We start from the raw sequence: 15,441 nt of genomic DNA, 5'->3' as shown, positions 1-15,441 counted from the left end.
TAGGCTGCTCAACTGAGCATACTTGTGGTTATTTCTCGATCATCTGCTAAACAAGGGGTGGATTATTCATGAGTTTTCTGGGAAATGGGTGGGAAGTTCCTGAAACTGAGGGTTCCTCCCCTTTTTAGACCATATAGGGTAACTTCTGGATGCTGCCACGGCATTGATAAGCTGTCATGGTGCTGGTGGGAGTGTCTTTTAGCATGCTAATGCATTAGAATTAGCATATAATGAGCAGTGAGGACAACTAGAGGTCGCTTTCCTTGCCATCTTGGTTTTGGCCAGCTTCTTTGCTGCATCCTGTTTCATGAATTGGATCTTTGTGACCTGTATCTTGTGAAACCAGTCCTGCTGACCTCCTATCTCATTCTGTGACTTAGGCTGCCTAACTTCCTGGGAATGCAGCCCAGCAGGTCTCAGCCTCATTCTCCCCAGCTCCTGTTCAAGATGGAGTCACTCTGGTTCAAACGCCTCTGACAGTAGGTCCCATGATGATAACTGCTATGGAGAACAAAAGCAGGGTAGGGAGGGAGTTGGGGATGAGAGTAGTGCAATTGTAGAGTCCGGAAGGTGTCCTGGAAAAGGGAGCATTGAACACATACCAAAAGGAGGTGACATTTGAGCAAAGACCTGAAGAAGGTGAAGGAGCAAGCCCTGAGCATCTATAAAGGAAGAGCATTCCAGGCATAGGGAACAGCAAGTGCAAAAGTCACTTTGCATGGACGCGGCTGTGCTTCTTGGCCTCGGTAGAGGGTTTCTCTTGGGTTCTCTCTCATCTAACCAGGCTGGGTCCTTTCCCTGGGCCTGCCGTGTGTGCTTCAAATTCCTTTCCCTTTGGGTCCCATATATATGTGGTACCTGGAATCATTACCTTTATCTCCAAATGATAGACCCAAAGTGGTTTACAGATCATTGGGAATAACGTTCTAACATAAAGAAGGGTGGGAGCATGGCAAGTGTCCAAGAAACAGCAAGTGGTCTTCCTTGGTTCTCATAACAGCCTTTTCCAGGAGACTGATCCTTGGTCCCCTGGTCACAGAAAAACTAAAATGAAGAGCCCAGATGGGATTTAAAGGCTCGTCCCACCCCAGTGCCTTCGGGCAGGGTTTCACTTCACCTGGAGAAAGGCCTCCCATTAGCACCAGCTGCAAAGGTGCGGGAGAGGATGACAGGGGAAAAGGGACATAGAGGGGGCCTGAGGGGAGCTTTTGGTGCACCCCACCATGCCGCTCCATGATGGGAGATGAAGGAACCAGCTGGACAGTTGGGAAGACTGAGGCAAAGAGAGAGGACGGAGCTGCCCAAGGTCACACCATGAATCAGCTTATTTTCTCAGAACAACGTGTTCTACCCTCCTCAGGCTGAGTGAGGCCACCAGGAGCTCCTGCATCCAGGGCACACCCCCACAACCACCCTCCTGTCTGGCTCGTGAATGATTAGTGAGGCCTGGGCAGCCACAGGGTGTGAGCCACCGCAGGAACGTTTTTAATGAATGGCTCCAAGAACTTGAACTTGTCACAACATCCACTAATGAGTCCAGGGGTCTAACAGAGTCCACTGTAGGGGAGGGGTTGGGGGCGGGGCTCAGGCATCTCCTGGGGCAGGTTTGCTGCCCTTTCTGTTTCCCCCATTGAGTCTTGTGCCCAGATGGACACAGATGGCCCCTAGCTGCTGTCTCAGAGTGTTTTGGGGCATGGGACAAGGTAAGAGGGAGCCTCGGTTGGCAACCAGAAGCAAGACTTCCCGGTGGCCTCAACTACTTCCATCTGCATCACCTCTGGATTAATCCTCCATGCCTCAGTCTCTCCCTCTGGAAAGTGGGCACACGAAAATCAGTTCTGCTCACCCTCAAGACTGAATTAGCCCCCCAGAGAGGATATGAAAATGCCTATCAAGCACCTTCTGTTGAGTGCCTGTCCTTTCATTTCCTCTACTAGAACCTACCAGAGCCTGGGAAGAGCTGAAGACACAATTACTGTAAAGGGCTTTAATCAGCACTCACACATAGTAAGTGCTCAGTAAATGCTGGCTGCTCCCTCCACTATAATCTTCATCGCTGAGCCGTGGGGATAGGGCCCATAAGATCAGGACTAGGGCCCTGGGCTAGACCACCATGGTAGGATCGTGGCTCCATCCCTTGCTAGATGTACACACATGGGCAGAGAAGTTGCCAAACCTCTGTGTGCTTTATCATTTCTAAACAGGGTCACTGGGACACACAGGCGAGCTAATGCACCCCAAAAAGCATGGCTTGGTGCCTAAGCATAGTAAGCCCTCAATCGATAGTTGCTTTGTTCTTCTTGTCTATGGTTTGCATTGAGGCAGAGGGCCTTGAGCAAGTCACTTGAGTTCTCTGAGCTACAATAAACCAAGCCACCCATAAACAGTAGTTATTGCTGCCTCTCAGGGCAGTGGGTAGAGTTTAACAAGGGAATTGCCAAACAGTGTCTGGTGTGTAGTAAGGGCTCAACATGTGTAGCTATCTCAGATAGCAGTGGTATGGCACTGAGGCCATGAGGGAGAGTTGCCCCAGAGGCTGGGGGAGAAATGCCCATATTGCAGGACTGTCAAAGCATAGCCATGTCCACCTGCCTTTTGATCTCCCCTGGGCATTCTCTGAGGATGGCCTAATATGCATCCGAAATTACGGATGGAGACAGGGAGGCTCCAAAAAGCCAATGAGTCAGCCTGAAGCTGGTGGCTTATAAGTGGTGGAGCTGAGATTTGCACCCAAGCTATGTGACTCCTAGTGGCCTTGTTCCCCTGAGCCTTCACCTGCCTGATTTAACCTCCTCTTTCCAAGTGGAGGTCTCATGCCAATGTGCTTCTTGGCCTTGGCAGAAAGGGTTTCTCTTGGGTTCTGTCTCTTCTTTCCAGGTTGGGTCCTTTCCCTGGGCCTGCTCTGTGTGCTCCAAATTTCTTTCCCTTTGGGGTCCGTATATATGTGGGAACTGGAATTGTTACCTTCATCCCCAAATGGTGGACGTGAAGTAGCTTATGGATCATTGGGATGAACCTTCTAACATAAAGAGGGCAAGGAATGTAACAAAATAACAGCTGCCAGTAGTAGGTAACATTAAATATGTAAATCTCCAGATAGATAGATGATAGATAGATAGATGATAGATACATAAACAGATAGATAGATAGATAGATAGATAGATAGATAGATAGATAGATAGATAGATAGATATATCTATCTATCTATCTATCTATCTATCTATCTATCTATCTATCTATTGAAAGAGAGAAAAGGAGAGAGGAAGGAAGGGAGAGAGAGAGTGAGAGGAAGAAAGAGAGAGAGAGAGATAGAGATTACTCTGGGCTATATGTTGCACCCAGCCTTTTACCTACGTGAACTTATTTAATCCTTCCAACAATAACTCTATGAGGTTGAAATTCTTATCATCATTATTATCATCACCCTCATTTTACAGAAAACCAAGGAACAAAGTTAAGTCATCTGCTCTGGAAGCTATAGACTTCCAGGATTGGAACCCAGACAATCTGGCACTGGATGCCAAGCTCATAACCCATAGGCTTCTCTGCTTCTTGGCATCAGGTCCGGATTATAACCCCCAGGTCCCAGCTCCCTGTCCATGGCTCTTTCCCCTGATCCTGGCAGCTTTTTTTTTTTTTCCCCCTTGGGGGCTGGCCTTCTTCCAGGCAATGTCCCACCATGGTGATTCTGTGAGGCCGTCATTCCCATGTTATCCATGAGTGAACTGACGCTCGGAGTGAGGAAGCGACACCAGTCCTGAGTGCCTGAGCCATGATGCTTCAAACACTATGTAGCTCCAGAGGGTCTGGCACTTCGCAGGCTCAGTCCTGGGCAACGGGATACCATGAGGTTTAAGGCTTGCTTCTGCCTTGCTGGAGTGCAAAGTTCAGCACTTCATAGCCCCAGCCCTGGACACTCCTGAGAAGTGGGACTCTCGTAGGCAGCAGGAGGGCACTGCTGTGGGCAGCTGGTCTCAGTCCTGTCCCCAAAGTGTGGGCCAGCCAGCTCTCTGCCTGGCACAGAGCTACCAGTATCTGCCAAGAGCCTGGTCACTGCCCAGTGCCCTGACAAAAATGCCAGCTGCAGCCCAGCAGGGAGCTGGGGCAGGGGGAAGGGGACAGTGGTGGTGGAGGCAGTGTCCTGAAAATTCCTGCCCCAGGGTCCTGGAGAACAGACCACTTCTCTTTCTTTCCTTTCCTACACAAAGAGGGCAAGTTGGGGGGCAGTAGGAAAAAAGTTGCCTTGTGTATGCCTGGAAATCATTCCCCAGCTCAAAAATTAACCACCTGACATGGCATTTTTTTCTCTCTCTCTCCACCCGTCTCTCACCCCTGCGCGTTTTGCTTGCAGGCTTTAATCCCTGTGGTCGTGTATTGGCTAAGCCTGAGAAGCTGGGATTTCTTTGGTGGGGGGATTATAAGGCTTCCTATAAGAAAGCCAGACCTTGGAGATTATGTATGGGTTGGGTGGGTGTGAGCGGGGCTGAGTTGGGGACCAAGGCTAGGACTAGGGTGGCCACATGAGGCATTTGGAGAGCAAGATTGAAGGAGGAGCTCACTCAGGGTCACGCGTGAGCCTCGCCCACATGGCAGCCCTGCTCCCAACTCCTGCTGCATGATAAAGCCCAGGGCACAATGGTCTTTCAATGAACTAAGAGAAAGCATGGCCTTAACTTGCACAATCTACCTCTGACTCACTGTGTGACCTCAGGGAAGCCACTTTCCTTCTTGGGACAACCACTTCCTCCATTGTATGTACTAAAAGTTAGATTAGACCAGGGTTTCTCCACTTTGTTCAGCACTGTGGACATTGACCCTATTGGAACAAATAATTCTTTATTGTAGGGGGCTGTTCTGGACACTGCAGGATGTTTAGCAGCATCTCTGTCCTGTACTCACTAGATGCCAGGAGCACCCTCCACCAGTCGTGAGACTAAAACGTGTCCCCTGGGGGACAGAATCACCCCCTGTCGAGAACCACTGGATTAAATGATCTCAGCTTCATTCTGACTCTCATATTTTAAGTACAGTATTTTTGAAGCCCAGCTTTATGAAATTGATCTAATTGTACTATTAATAACAATGTTATTTAATACAACATAACAATATATCATATGTATTGAGCTACTGTATGTATCAATCACTGGGTCAGTGGTTACCTTATATTAATAACCATCTCTCCAAGGGAGATGGTATGATCATATGTCTACAGCACACAAGGAAACTGAAGGTAAACAGAGTTAACAAGCCCAGGTTCAACAGCTAGAATGTGGAAGAATCGGGTCTTTAATTCAGGCTCCTTTAATTCCAAATCCCATATTGTTTCAACTGTGCATATTTGTTGTAGAAAGATTAGAAAATACAGATATGCAAAAGAAAACAGCACTTTCTGATCACAGAATTACTAGGTGGGAGGCACTTATGGTTTAAGTTAGTAGAACAAAGACTTTTATTCCATTCACCTTTCTGAAGCACTCTGAAAACAACCACAAAAGCAACAAAAGGAGAAGAATATGCCATCTTTGATGAAAGAAGGAAAGACCACAATCCCACCTCGCCAGCATATGAAGAAGAGCTGACAATGGCAGGAAACTTTGACCAAACTGCAGAAGGAAATCAAGAGTGGCGCATGCTTCTGCACATCGTGGGCAGGACGAGGAGTTCTGAAGTGTTTTTGAACTCTGACACTTCCTAATACTGGCAAAGCCTGGAGCATGCATGTCAGAGAAGGGAGAGTTCCTGAGATGTATGTGACAGTACAGCATTCAGATGAACTGATTGAGGAGGCTCCAAGACGCTTGTCATGAAGCGGGATGTTGGAATGGCACATGGGAGAGAGATTGTGGATAGTGATCACCTGTATGGCTGTAAAGGTTCTAGTTTTCTCTCTCTGTCAGTCAAACAAACATAAATGCTAAAGAGACACCAAAGAACTGTGACCGTCTTGGGTCTTCGCATTGAGTAAGGGGCTCCCCCTTGCTTAGAGGAGAGGCATGTTCTGGGTCCATGTTGATGAGAAAGCATTCTGAGATAGTCAACAGAGCCAATGCTTAGATACCTGTGGGCCAGCCCCTTTCCCCACACTTTCCTCCAACAAAGAACCGGTCTTAAAAGAATGACCGCAATTCTGTAATAAGTAGCCAACATGAGATCTGCCAAAAAGAGAGCATGAGAAATAAAAAGGGAAGAAACATAAAATAGAAAGGAGAAAAACAGAATAAATACTAGAAGATTTGTGTTATGAAGTGGGAGAAACTATCGGACAGATATTTTTCGGTGAAATGTATTTTAAAAATTGCCTGCCTACAACAAATCTCAAAATAAGAAACAAAAAGGGCAAAGAAGAGAGATTAAGAAGCAGAAGGGGGTGAAAAAACAGCACTCAGGAAGTAAGTGGAAGAGAAAAATAAAGCTATTCTGTTATAAAGGCTGTATCAGACAGAGCAAAATGGGGAAATATTAAAAACATAATCAGAGACATGATATACAGGCTAAAAAAGATTGAACAAAATGAAGTGGAAAAGTAAGAAAGGATGGATGAAAAACAATTAGTATGGAAGACAAAGGAAATCCAACATCAGCATAATTGGTGTTCCTGAAGAAAAAAATAAAATGGAAAACAATATTGGAATCTTTAATAGAAGAACATTTCTCCAAAACTAAAACATATGCAGGTTGAAAGAGCTTACTGTCTTCCAGAAACAGCTTATGGACACTCATCAACACCAAGACAAATTGTGGTAACATTAATGGACTTGAAGCTTAATTAAAAAACCTTATGGATATCCAGGCAAAAAATTCAAGTGAGCTATAAGGGGTGGGAGAAATCAGGCTGGACTCAAATTTCTGCAATAATTAAATATCTGCTAATTCTCAGAGAAAGAACATGTAACCCAATAATTTTACAGATATATCACTTGTGTATTCAGAGGATGCCTTCTTTTTTAAAATATGTGCATATTTGTTGTTGAAGTTTGGAAAATAGAGCATATAAGAAAGAAATCCAAATTTATTCATAATATCATCCCTAAGATAGAAATGTCAATCACACACTTCAAAATGCTTTCACAGACATTTGTCCTAATGGAATCCTCTGTGATGTAGACATCCCAATATTATTATTCCCAATTAGAAGATGAACTAATTTAGGCTCAGTGTGTTCAGTGATTTTCTGCAAAAATTCAGCAGCAAAACCACCTATCCCCAGGCTTCCTGGCCCTTGGGCCTGAGTTCTCTAGAACAGTCTGTCCTATAAAACTTTCTGTGATGATGGAGATGTTCCATATCTGCTCTGTTCAGAATGGTGGACCCTAGTCCCATGTGGCTGTTGAGCACCTGAAATGTGGCTAGTGTTACTAAGAAACTGGAATTTTAAATTTTGTTTGATGTTAATGAACTTGAACTTAAATTCCACATGTGACCCAGGGCTCCACTGTTTAGACAGGCCAGCACTAGAGAGTTGCTTGGTATTCTTTCCCCTTCAAAGGCAGCTGACCACTTTCCATTTCAGCCATCCTCCCAACCTCATCCATATCAAGTTCACCCAGAATCTGGCCTCTAGGGTCAGCCTTGATCATTAGGACTAGCCTCCTTCCCTGTGGCACCTGTCTTCTCCAGATGCAGACTCCGTTAGGCCTTGCCGTCAGTTCCTTCAACCCTAGAGATTTTAGCTGAGTCCCACTGGCTTCTGACGGCAGAGGGAGTAGGCTGGGAGCTAAGCAATGTTTTACCCGAAGCTGCTACTCCTTCTTCCCTGGGCCCGCTCAGCAAGATTCTCCCTCCCAAAATGGAGCCTCTGGACAGAAACAAGTGGCAAGAAAGCAAACTGCTCACCCTGGCTTGACCCAGAAAATAAGTCTGCAAAATCAGACACCTCTCCCAACCTCTGAACTCCAGAAGTTAAAATTGAAAGGAGCAGTGCCTCGGGATCATGTGGCCCCACACTCCTTCCTACCTGAATCTGCCCTTGAAGATCCGAGGGAAGCCTCTATTTTGCAAACACACAGAATGAACCTCAGTGTGGCCACGTGGCTGGTGTGAGTTCATGAAACAGGAGGCCCAGAGGCAGAGGTTGACCAGAGCTGCTGTTGGGTGGAGTAAAATCATGGATCCACCTGGACTCCCCTCTATGATTCCACTATTTCAAACGGACCAGGGCTGGGAGTGATGAGATCTACTCTTAGGCTCTGCATGGTCCTGAAGACACTACACCTCCTCTCCAGACCTCAGTTTATATCTGTAAAATGGGGATTTTAAAATGGAGCAGGGGTTTTCAGTACAGAGTCCGGTGATCCCTACTAATCTGTCAACATCTTGACATTACATTCAGTATTGCGTATGTGTGGGCACATATACAATATGTCGGTTTTTCATTAATTACCGCAGGGGTCCATCCTTCTACCAATTCAAATCACTTAGATGAGAGGTCATAAATTGGTGACTATAGGTTGAATACCACCTGCAGATGTAGTTTTTTTTTTGATTGGCCCACAGTTTCCTTTTAATGAGCAAATCTTTTAAAACTGAGATTTCACATAGAAGCAAAATTTCAAGCTTCTCTTGAAATCAGGAGAGCTGGCATCACGGGACCCACATTCCTGCATCACAACAATCAGAGGAGCTGAGCAGCAGTGGTTGTCCTCGTGGTAGGGGAGGCCCCTGTGTTCCCCACTTCACCACAGTCCCCGCCCCTCCCTATTGCACTCATGACACTGAAGTCCAGTGCCAGCTGTAAGTTACTGTTAAGCTTGGGAACTTTTATCCCCTGCTAAAATAATAGTTTTCTATATCCACAGCACTATTGGAAGTGCAAATCAGACTTGAGAAAACGTGACTTTTCTTACACCAGCCCATATTACTCATTAAATTGTCCCCTGCATATGAGTTTGAAATGCCTGAAATGACTTTATATCATTTATTCATTCTTTTAACAAATACCTGTTGAGGCACTGAGAATAGAGGCGAACAAAGACAGAAAAGGCCCTGTTTGCATGGTGCTCCTGGTCTGCAGGGAGGCGAGAGAGAGATAATAAGTGAATGAACAAAAAATAAACTTCAGCTAGTGATAAGTGGCTCCACAAGAATGAAGCCAGATAATGTGCAGCAGACCACAATGAACAGTGTGATCAGAGATGGACTTCCTGGAGGGGAGACCTTTGAAGTGAGGGCTGAACAGCAAGGAGCCAGCCAGCCAGAGATAGAAGGGGGTGCGTGGGGTCAAGAGGGCCAGGCAGAGGGAACAGCAGGTGCAAAGACCTGGACGGGGGAAAAGGCCTGGCCTGCTTGTTCTGAGAGCCCACCACTTAGCATTTTACAGGCCTCAGTGCTCTAGTCCCTGCCTCCAAGTCCCCTGGGAGATTTTTGCTCTCTGGAAGTTAGTTTTGTTCTTAAGTCCTGGCAGAGTGGGAAGGTCAGGGGATGAGGGGCAGCAGCACTTCTTACTAATTCTCCACCAGATGTCTGGCATACAGCTGGCAAATCTGAATCCATTTGCCCACAGGAAGCTCAGCTGAGGCAGGGCAGGCATTTGGGGGTCACTCTGGCTCTGCTCCAGTCCCTCTCCAGCAAGGTAATAAAACACACTCTTGACCTACTTGCTGCCAAAACCCCAAGTGGGCCAAGGATTGACTTCCCAACTCCTGCCATTTCCCTTGGGTCACCTCTCCAGCTGACATGTGCTGTATCTGGAGTCATTCCTTCACAGAAAGCTGAGTTGACATCCTGACAGGAGCATCCAGAGAGACAGGAGAAAGAGGGAGGGAGAGAAAGGGAGGGGGAGTGAGAGAGGAAGAAGAGAGAGGGAGGAGGAGAGAGAGAAAGGGAGGAGGAGGGAGAGAGAGAAAGGGAGGAGAGAGAGGAAGGAAAGAGAAAAGGAGGGGGAGGGAGAGAGAGGACAGACAGAGGGAGTGGGAAGAAGGAGGGAGGGAGAGGAGAGAAAAAGAAGGGGGGAGAGAGAGACAGAGAGACAGAGAGAGAGAGAGACAGAGAGAGAGAGAGAGAGAGAGAGAATACAGCTTTGACAGCAACCTTTGCAGCCAGAATTTAAACAACTTTCCTACCATTTATATCATGTACAGAATGAATACATCGCACAAAAGGACTCACAGGATGTCACCTCCAAAGCAGATGTATTCTAGTGTTCACAACAACTTTTTCCATAGTAGCCCCAAACTGGAAATAATACAAATGTCCACCAGCAGGAAAATGTACAAATAAATTCTCATCTATTCACAGAATGGAATACTACTCAGCAGCAAAAAAGAATAGGCTACTGATACACACAACTGCGTGGAGGAATCTCACAGACATCACGCTGAGCAAAACAGCCAGACACACTTCAAGCTCATTCTTGTTGGTAAAATTAAAATTAAAAGACAGCCAGAGACAGAAGTACATCCTGTATGATTCCATTATATCCCAGAACAGGCAAAAACCAATCTATAGTGATAGAAATTGCAGCACTGTTTTGGAGAGGATGTGGGAATTGACCTGAAAGGGGCATGTAGGAACTTTCTGGGGAGATGTAAATGTCCTATATCTTGGTTGGGATGGTGGCTATATGAATATGACCATTTGTCAGAACTTTTATTTTATGTAAATTATAGCTCAATGAGCTATTTTTTAAAAGTCATGTTTATTTTTCTCTCCAGCTAGTGCTCTAAAATATTTTCAGTGGGGAAGTTCTTTTCCTATTACTTGGACAAAAACCCCTGCAGACACATGCCTTTTCCTATCACTCTTGAGATGTAATTAAAATCCTCCAATTACTTTAATACACAAACATGGTCTCAATTCAGAAATTAGAATGGTCAGTTCCAGGTGATCATCAGAATGTGGAACTTGATTTGAAGTGAAATCCTTTCCCCTCCCCTTCCTGAGGGCTCTACAGGCTGGAAGCTGGGAGAGAAAGAGGAAAGAGAGATTATTGTCTCCTGAGTTCCCCTTTACGGTTTCATCTCTTCTTCCTTATTTTCTTAAGCAAGGTTTGTGACAGCCACAGTGAAAGAAGCCAGGGGGCAGGAAAAGACAAGGAGCCTAGCAGGTGCATGACTCCTGCCCCTCAGCTTCCCTTTACAGCAGACCCTTCTCTTGTGAGCATTACAGAGTCGGGAGACTAGAGGATCTCCCCCTTCTCAGAACACTTCACAGCCCTTCCCTTGGGTTTTTTTTCCCCTGGCTGCTCCCCCTCTAGTTCCTGGTTTCCTATATATGGGAACTCCCTTAGGGGTCCTATATCACTTAGAAGCAGACCTCTTAGGCAGGATTTTAAAGAGGACCTGGGCTGAAATTCTCACTTCAGAACCACATCTGGTCTTTAGAAATACTTGGGCTTTCCCTCCTCACATCTTTGGAATGTTGGTCCAGCTAGGGTTGAGGGATAAAACACAGGGTGCTAAGTTCACTTTGAATTTCAGATGAACAAGGAGTCATTTTTAAACTATAAGTATATCCCAAATAGTGCATGGGATATACTTATGCTAAACAATTTTGCTGCTATCCATCCTAATACTGATTGGATATTTGGGAATAGCTTGTCTAGCTCTCTCCATCTCCCCCTTGTGTAATAGCATAATGCTATGAGCAGCTTGCCTTGTGTCTACCCAGCAGGCTGTCCACTACTTTCATCTCTGTGACCCTGGTCAGGCTACTTATTCACTCTGTGCTTCAGTTGCATTATCTGCTAAATGGAGATAATCATGGAACCTCCTGCATAGGGCTGTTGTGACAATCACAATTAAACTGAGATAATACACAGGTACAGTTGTTTGGGCAGTGTCTGCCACATAGCAAATTCTCAATAGGTATTGACTGTTATTAGTATTATTATGGTGATAGTGATTGTTGTTGCTATTGCATGAAGAGAGGAAGAACTAGAGCCTCCAGATAGGTTATTTTCTGGAGAAAGGAGCCAGAACTAGAAGGATGGGGTTCCTGTGAATGAGGAATTGGCAAGGAACAGGATGGTTATTATTAGCATGCCTTGTGGGAGACAGTGAGGCAGAGATGGGGAGTCATGGAGGGGCAGAGATGGCAAGGAGCCAGGAAGCTTGAGAGAGGTTCTCTTGGCCTAGGAACGAGAGAGATTTTCAGGCATGCTAGAGAATAGAGAGGATGTAGGCATTTGACAAGAACACCCACGGATTGTGCAGAAATACATAGTGATAAAGAGAAAACTCTGGTCAGACCACCTGGGTTCAAATCCTGACTGCCTCAGCAGCTATGGGCAAGTTACTTGACTTTTCCTGTTTGCCTCCATGTCCCATCAGTAAAATAGAGCTAATAATATCTGCCTCAAAGGATTGTTTTGAAAATAAAATGAGTTCACAAATGCAATTACTTGGAAATTAATTGCTTGCTAATTAATTGCTAGCGATCGTTATACTTTGAGTCCCTTAAATGTTTAAAAGAGAAGAGTTTAAAAATTAGAATTCCTGTTTAGACTACACAGTTTGTAAGCTGCAACACTACCCTGGGACTGAATTACCTGGGACACAGCATTGTATGCATGACCTAAATAGACATCTTTTTATAATTTCCCCCAAAACAGAGGGGGAAAGTAATAGTACCTTCCTGAATCCAGGTGTGTCAGTGTATGCCTGTCATCCCAGCTACTTGGGAGGCTGAGATGGGAGGTTCACTTGAGCCCAGGAATTCAAGACCAGCCTGGGCAACATAGTTAGACCTTGGTTCAAAAAAAGATAGAGAGGAAAGGAAAAGAAAAGATTGTTAGGGGCATTACATGAGTTAATACATAGAAGACGCCTGAAACTTAGAGAATACTCAAAAAATGTTGGTGATTGTGATTGTCATTATACTGTAGTTATTCTTCTGCATAGAGATGTGAAGCTGCATAGAAAAGGAAACTCTCACCAGAGCTCCTGAGAATTGAAATTTTCCAGGTGACTGCATGTCACTGTTCTCAACCATTGTATTCCATTTTCTTTTCTTTTAATGCCCTTGTCAGGATCACCCAGGTAACAGGGTTATCCTGTCCTCATAAAATGAATTGGGAAGTGTTCCCTTTTTCTCTGCTCTCTGAAAGAGTTTGTGCAAGATGGTATTATTTATTCCTTCAATGTTTGGTAGAATTACCATTGAAGCCAGAAGGGCTTGGAGCTTTTTCGTGGGGAGGTTTTTAATGATTGATTCAGTTTCTTCAATAGACACTGAAATATTCAACTTTTTAATTTCTTTTTCTGATAGTTGAGAAAGGTATGTTTTTATCAGGAAGTTCCTCTGGTTACTTGAAATCATCAAAGTTATTGGTAAAAAGTTGTTCAAACTATCCCTTTGTATCCCTTTGATATTGTAAGATCTGAGTCATGTCTTTTTAAAATTCTTGTCATCTATTAAGTTCTGACCTTAGAGTGTCCCTAGCAGGGAAGCTATATTGCCTTCTTAAATTTGTAACTTTGTTGCTATTCATGAGTATCAGACACACACACACACACACACACACACACACACACACACACACACACACGCACACACCACACACCAATTCCTGTTGAGTTAGAGGAGCAAATTTGCAAGAATCCCCTACTGCTCCAGAAATCTGCCCTCATATTTTAAAGTACAATAGGCAAATAAATGCTCAAGTGCCTGCTGGACAAAGGGGAGGCTCTGACCTTAGGAATCTGCAAAAGCTTTTATTGTCTGAGATTTAGTTTAAATAGCTCTTCCTAAGAAAACTGTTCCCTGCTATCTTTCTTTGTCCTCTGAGTTAAGTTAATTACTTTCCCCTAGGTGTCCCTAGCTTACTGAGAACCACATGTTGATCCCATTGTAGTTATTTGAGCCGGCATCCACCTGCTTGATCCCTAGACTCTGAGATCCTCAAGGGCAGATGTTCACTTACTCATCTCTACCTCCTGAACTTCCAGCATGGTGGCCAGCAAAGAGTCAGGGTCACAATCTATTTATTCTTTCACTCATTCCACACTCCCTGAAACCAACTCCATCAATGTGTTGGGGACTGTGCCAAGTTCTGGGGACACAGACGTGAACAAGATAAAAGCAATGGGGTCCGTCTTCTCAGGGAACTTTCTTAGTAGTCGAGGAGACAGAGTCAGTAAATCATTTTGAATGGATGAACCTTTGCAGGTTACAATTTGGCACCATTTACCACCCTATTTTCCATGGAGCATAAGTTGTGGAGGATTTTAAGAAATATTTCAATCCGTGGTCAAACGTATTTTGGAAACTTTGGGTTAGATAAGGTCAAATAAATATATGTACTACATGATTTGTTAGCACTTTCAGTGTACCAATTATGAATTTTTAGCGGAGCGGTAGGGAGAACAGTTCCTGAAAAACTTATTTGATTTTAGAACCATTTCTTGGGAAGATATCATGTGACATTGGATGTGATGTGCCGGGAAGTTCCACACAGAGATTGCTTAAGACCTCCTGGGTTGCCCCTAGCAGCTGACTCAGCTGCCAGTTATTCTGTCCGTGCAGAATGTACTCAGTGTATTTTTCTGGATTTGGAGCCACAACTTTTTTTTATTCCAGAACCATCTATAAGATGAGAGGACTTCAAAAAGTTCATGAAAAAATGGAATTAAAAGACAAAAATAAAAATACAAACTTTGTTTCTCAACATAAGCTCCATCAAGTTATAGACACTTTTGTAATGATGATACCAGCTATTTAATCCATCCTTAAGAAACTAAGAGTCTGCGGAACTTAATCATGTCAATGCCATCTTTGTTTTACATTATTAACTGAAGAAAAATGGGTGCTCTTTAAAGATTTTTAAAGATTAGGAACAAAAAGAAGTCAGAAGAAACCATATCAGGACCATAAGACAGATGCCTAATGATTCCCCATTAAAACTCTCACAAAACTGTCCTTGTTTGATGAGAGGAAGGAGCAGGAGCATTGCTGTGGTGAAGGACTCTCTGGGGAAGCTTTCCCTAGCATTTTTCTGCTAAAGCTTTGGCTAACCCTCATAAAACTCTCATAATGAGCAGATGTTATTGTTCTTTGGCCCTCCAGAAAGTCAATTAGGAAAATGCCTTGAGCATCCCCCCAAAAATGTTGCCATGACCTTTGCTATTGACCAGTTCACTTTTGCTTTGACCGGACCACTTCCAACTCTTGATGGCCATTGCCTTGATTGTGCTTTGTCTTCAGGATTGTACTGGCAAAGCCATGTTTCATCTCCTGTTACAATTCTTAGAAGAAATGCTTCAGGATCTTGATCCCATTTGTTTAAAATTTCCATTGACAGTTCTGCTCTTGTCTACAGCTGATCTCGGTGCAGTGGTCTTGGTACCCATCAAGTGGAAAGTTTGCCCAGCTTTAATTTTCCAGTCAGAATTGTGTATGCTGAACCAGTTGAGATGTCTGTGGTGTTGGCTATTGTTTCTGCTGTTAATTGTTGGTCCTTTTCAATTAGGGCATGAACAAGATGAATTTTTTTTTCCTTGCAGATCC

The 15,441-nt window shown here is 44.4% G+C and overlaps 1 protein-coding gene across 5 annotated transcripts in view, besides 3 other annotated features; it reads left to right on the top strand.

The window, feature by feature from the left end:
• The window catches only part of SLC13A3 (solute carrier family 13 member 3), a 126,658-nt gene that overhangs the window by 48,381 nt on the left and 62,836 nt on the right, over positions 1–15,441 (top strand). The gene's annotated exons all lie outside the window — the stretch shown is intronic.
• Positions 3,513–4,259: an enhancer, noted in NCBI's record as "H3K4me1 hESC enhancer chr20:45260485-45261231 (GRCh37/hg19 assembly coordinates)". NCBI's record gives its function as "activates a minimal SCP1, AML or CMV promoter by ChIP-STARR-seq in primed H9 embryonic stem cells {active_cell/tissue: H9 hESC(primed)}" and the evidence as "EXISTENCE:reporter gene assay evidence [ECO:0000049][PMID:30033119]".
• Positions 4,260–5,008: an enhancer, noted in NCBI's record as "H3K4me1 hESC enhancer chr20:45259736-45260484 (GRCh37/hg19 assembly coordinates)". NCBI's record gives its function as "activates a minimal SCP1, AML or CMV promoter by ChIP-STARR-seq in naive H9 embryonic stem cells {active_cell/tissue: H9 hESC(naive)}" and the evidence as "EXISTENCE:reporter gene assay evidence [ECO:0000049][PMID:30033119]".
• Positions 13,416–13,989: an enhancer, noted in NCBI's record as "OCT4-NANOG hESC enhancer chr20:45250755-45251328 (GRCh37/hg19 assembly coordinates)". NCBI's record gives its function as "activates a minimal SCP1, AML or CMV promoter by ChIP-STARR-seq in naive H9 embryonic stem cells {active_cell/tissue: H9 hESC(naive)}" and the evidence as "EXISTENCE:reporter gene assay evidence [ECO:0000049][PMID:30033119]".

This window comes from Homo sapiens, chromosome 20 (genome assembly GCF_000001405.40).
Source record: "Homo sapiens chromosome 20, GRCh38.p14 Primary Assembly".
Classification (NCBI taxonomy): Eukaryota; Metazoa; Chordata; class Mammalia; order Primates; family Hominidae; genus Homo; species Homo sapiens.
This window is presented reverse-complemented; position numbering and strand designations above follow the sequence as displayed.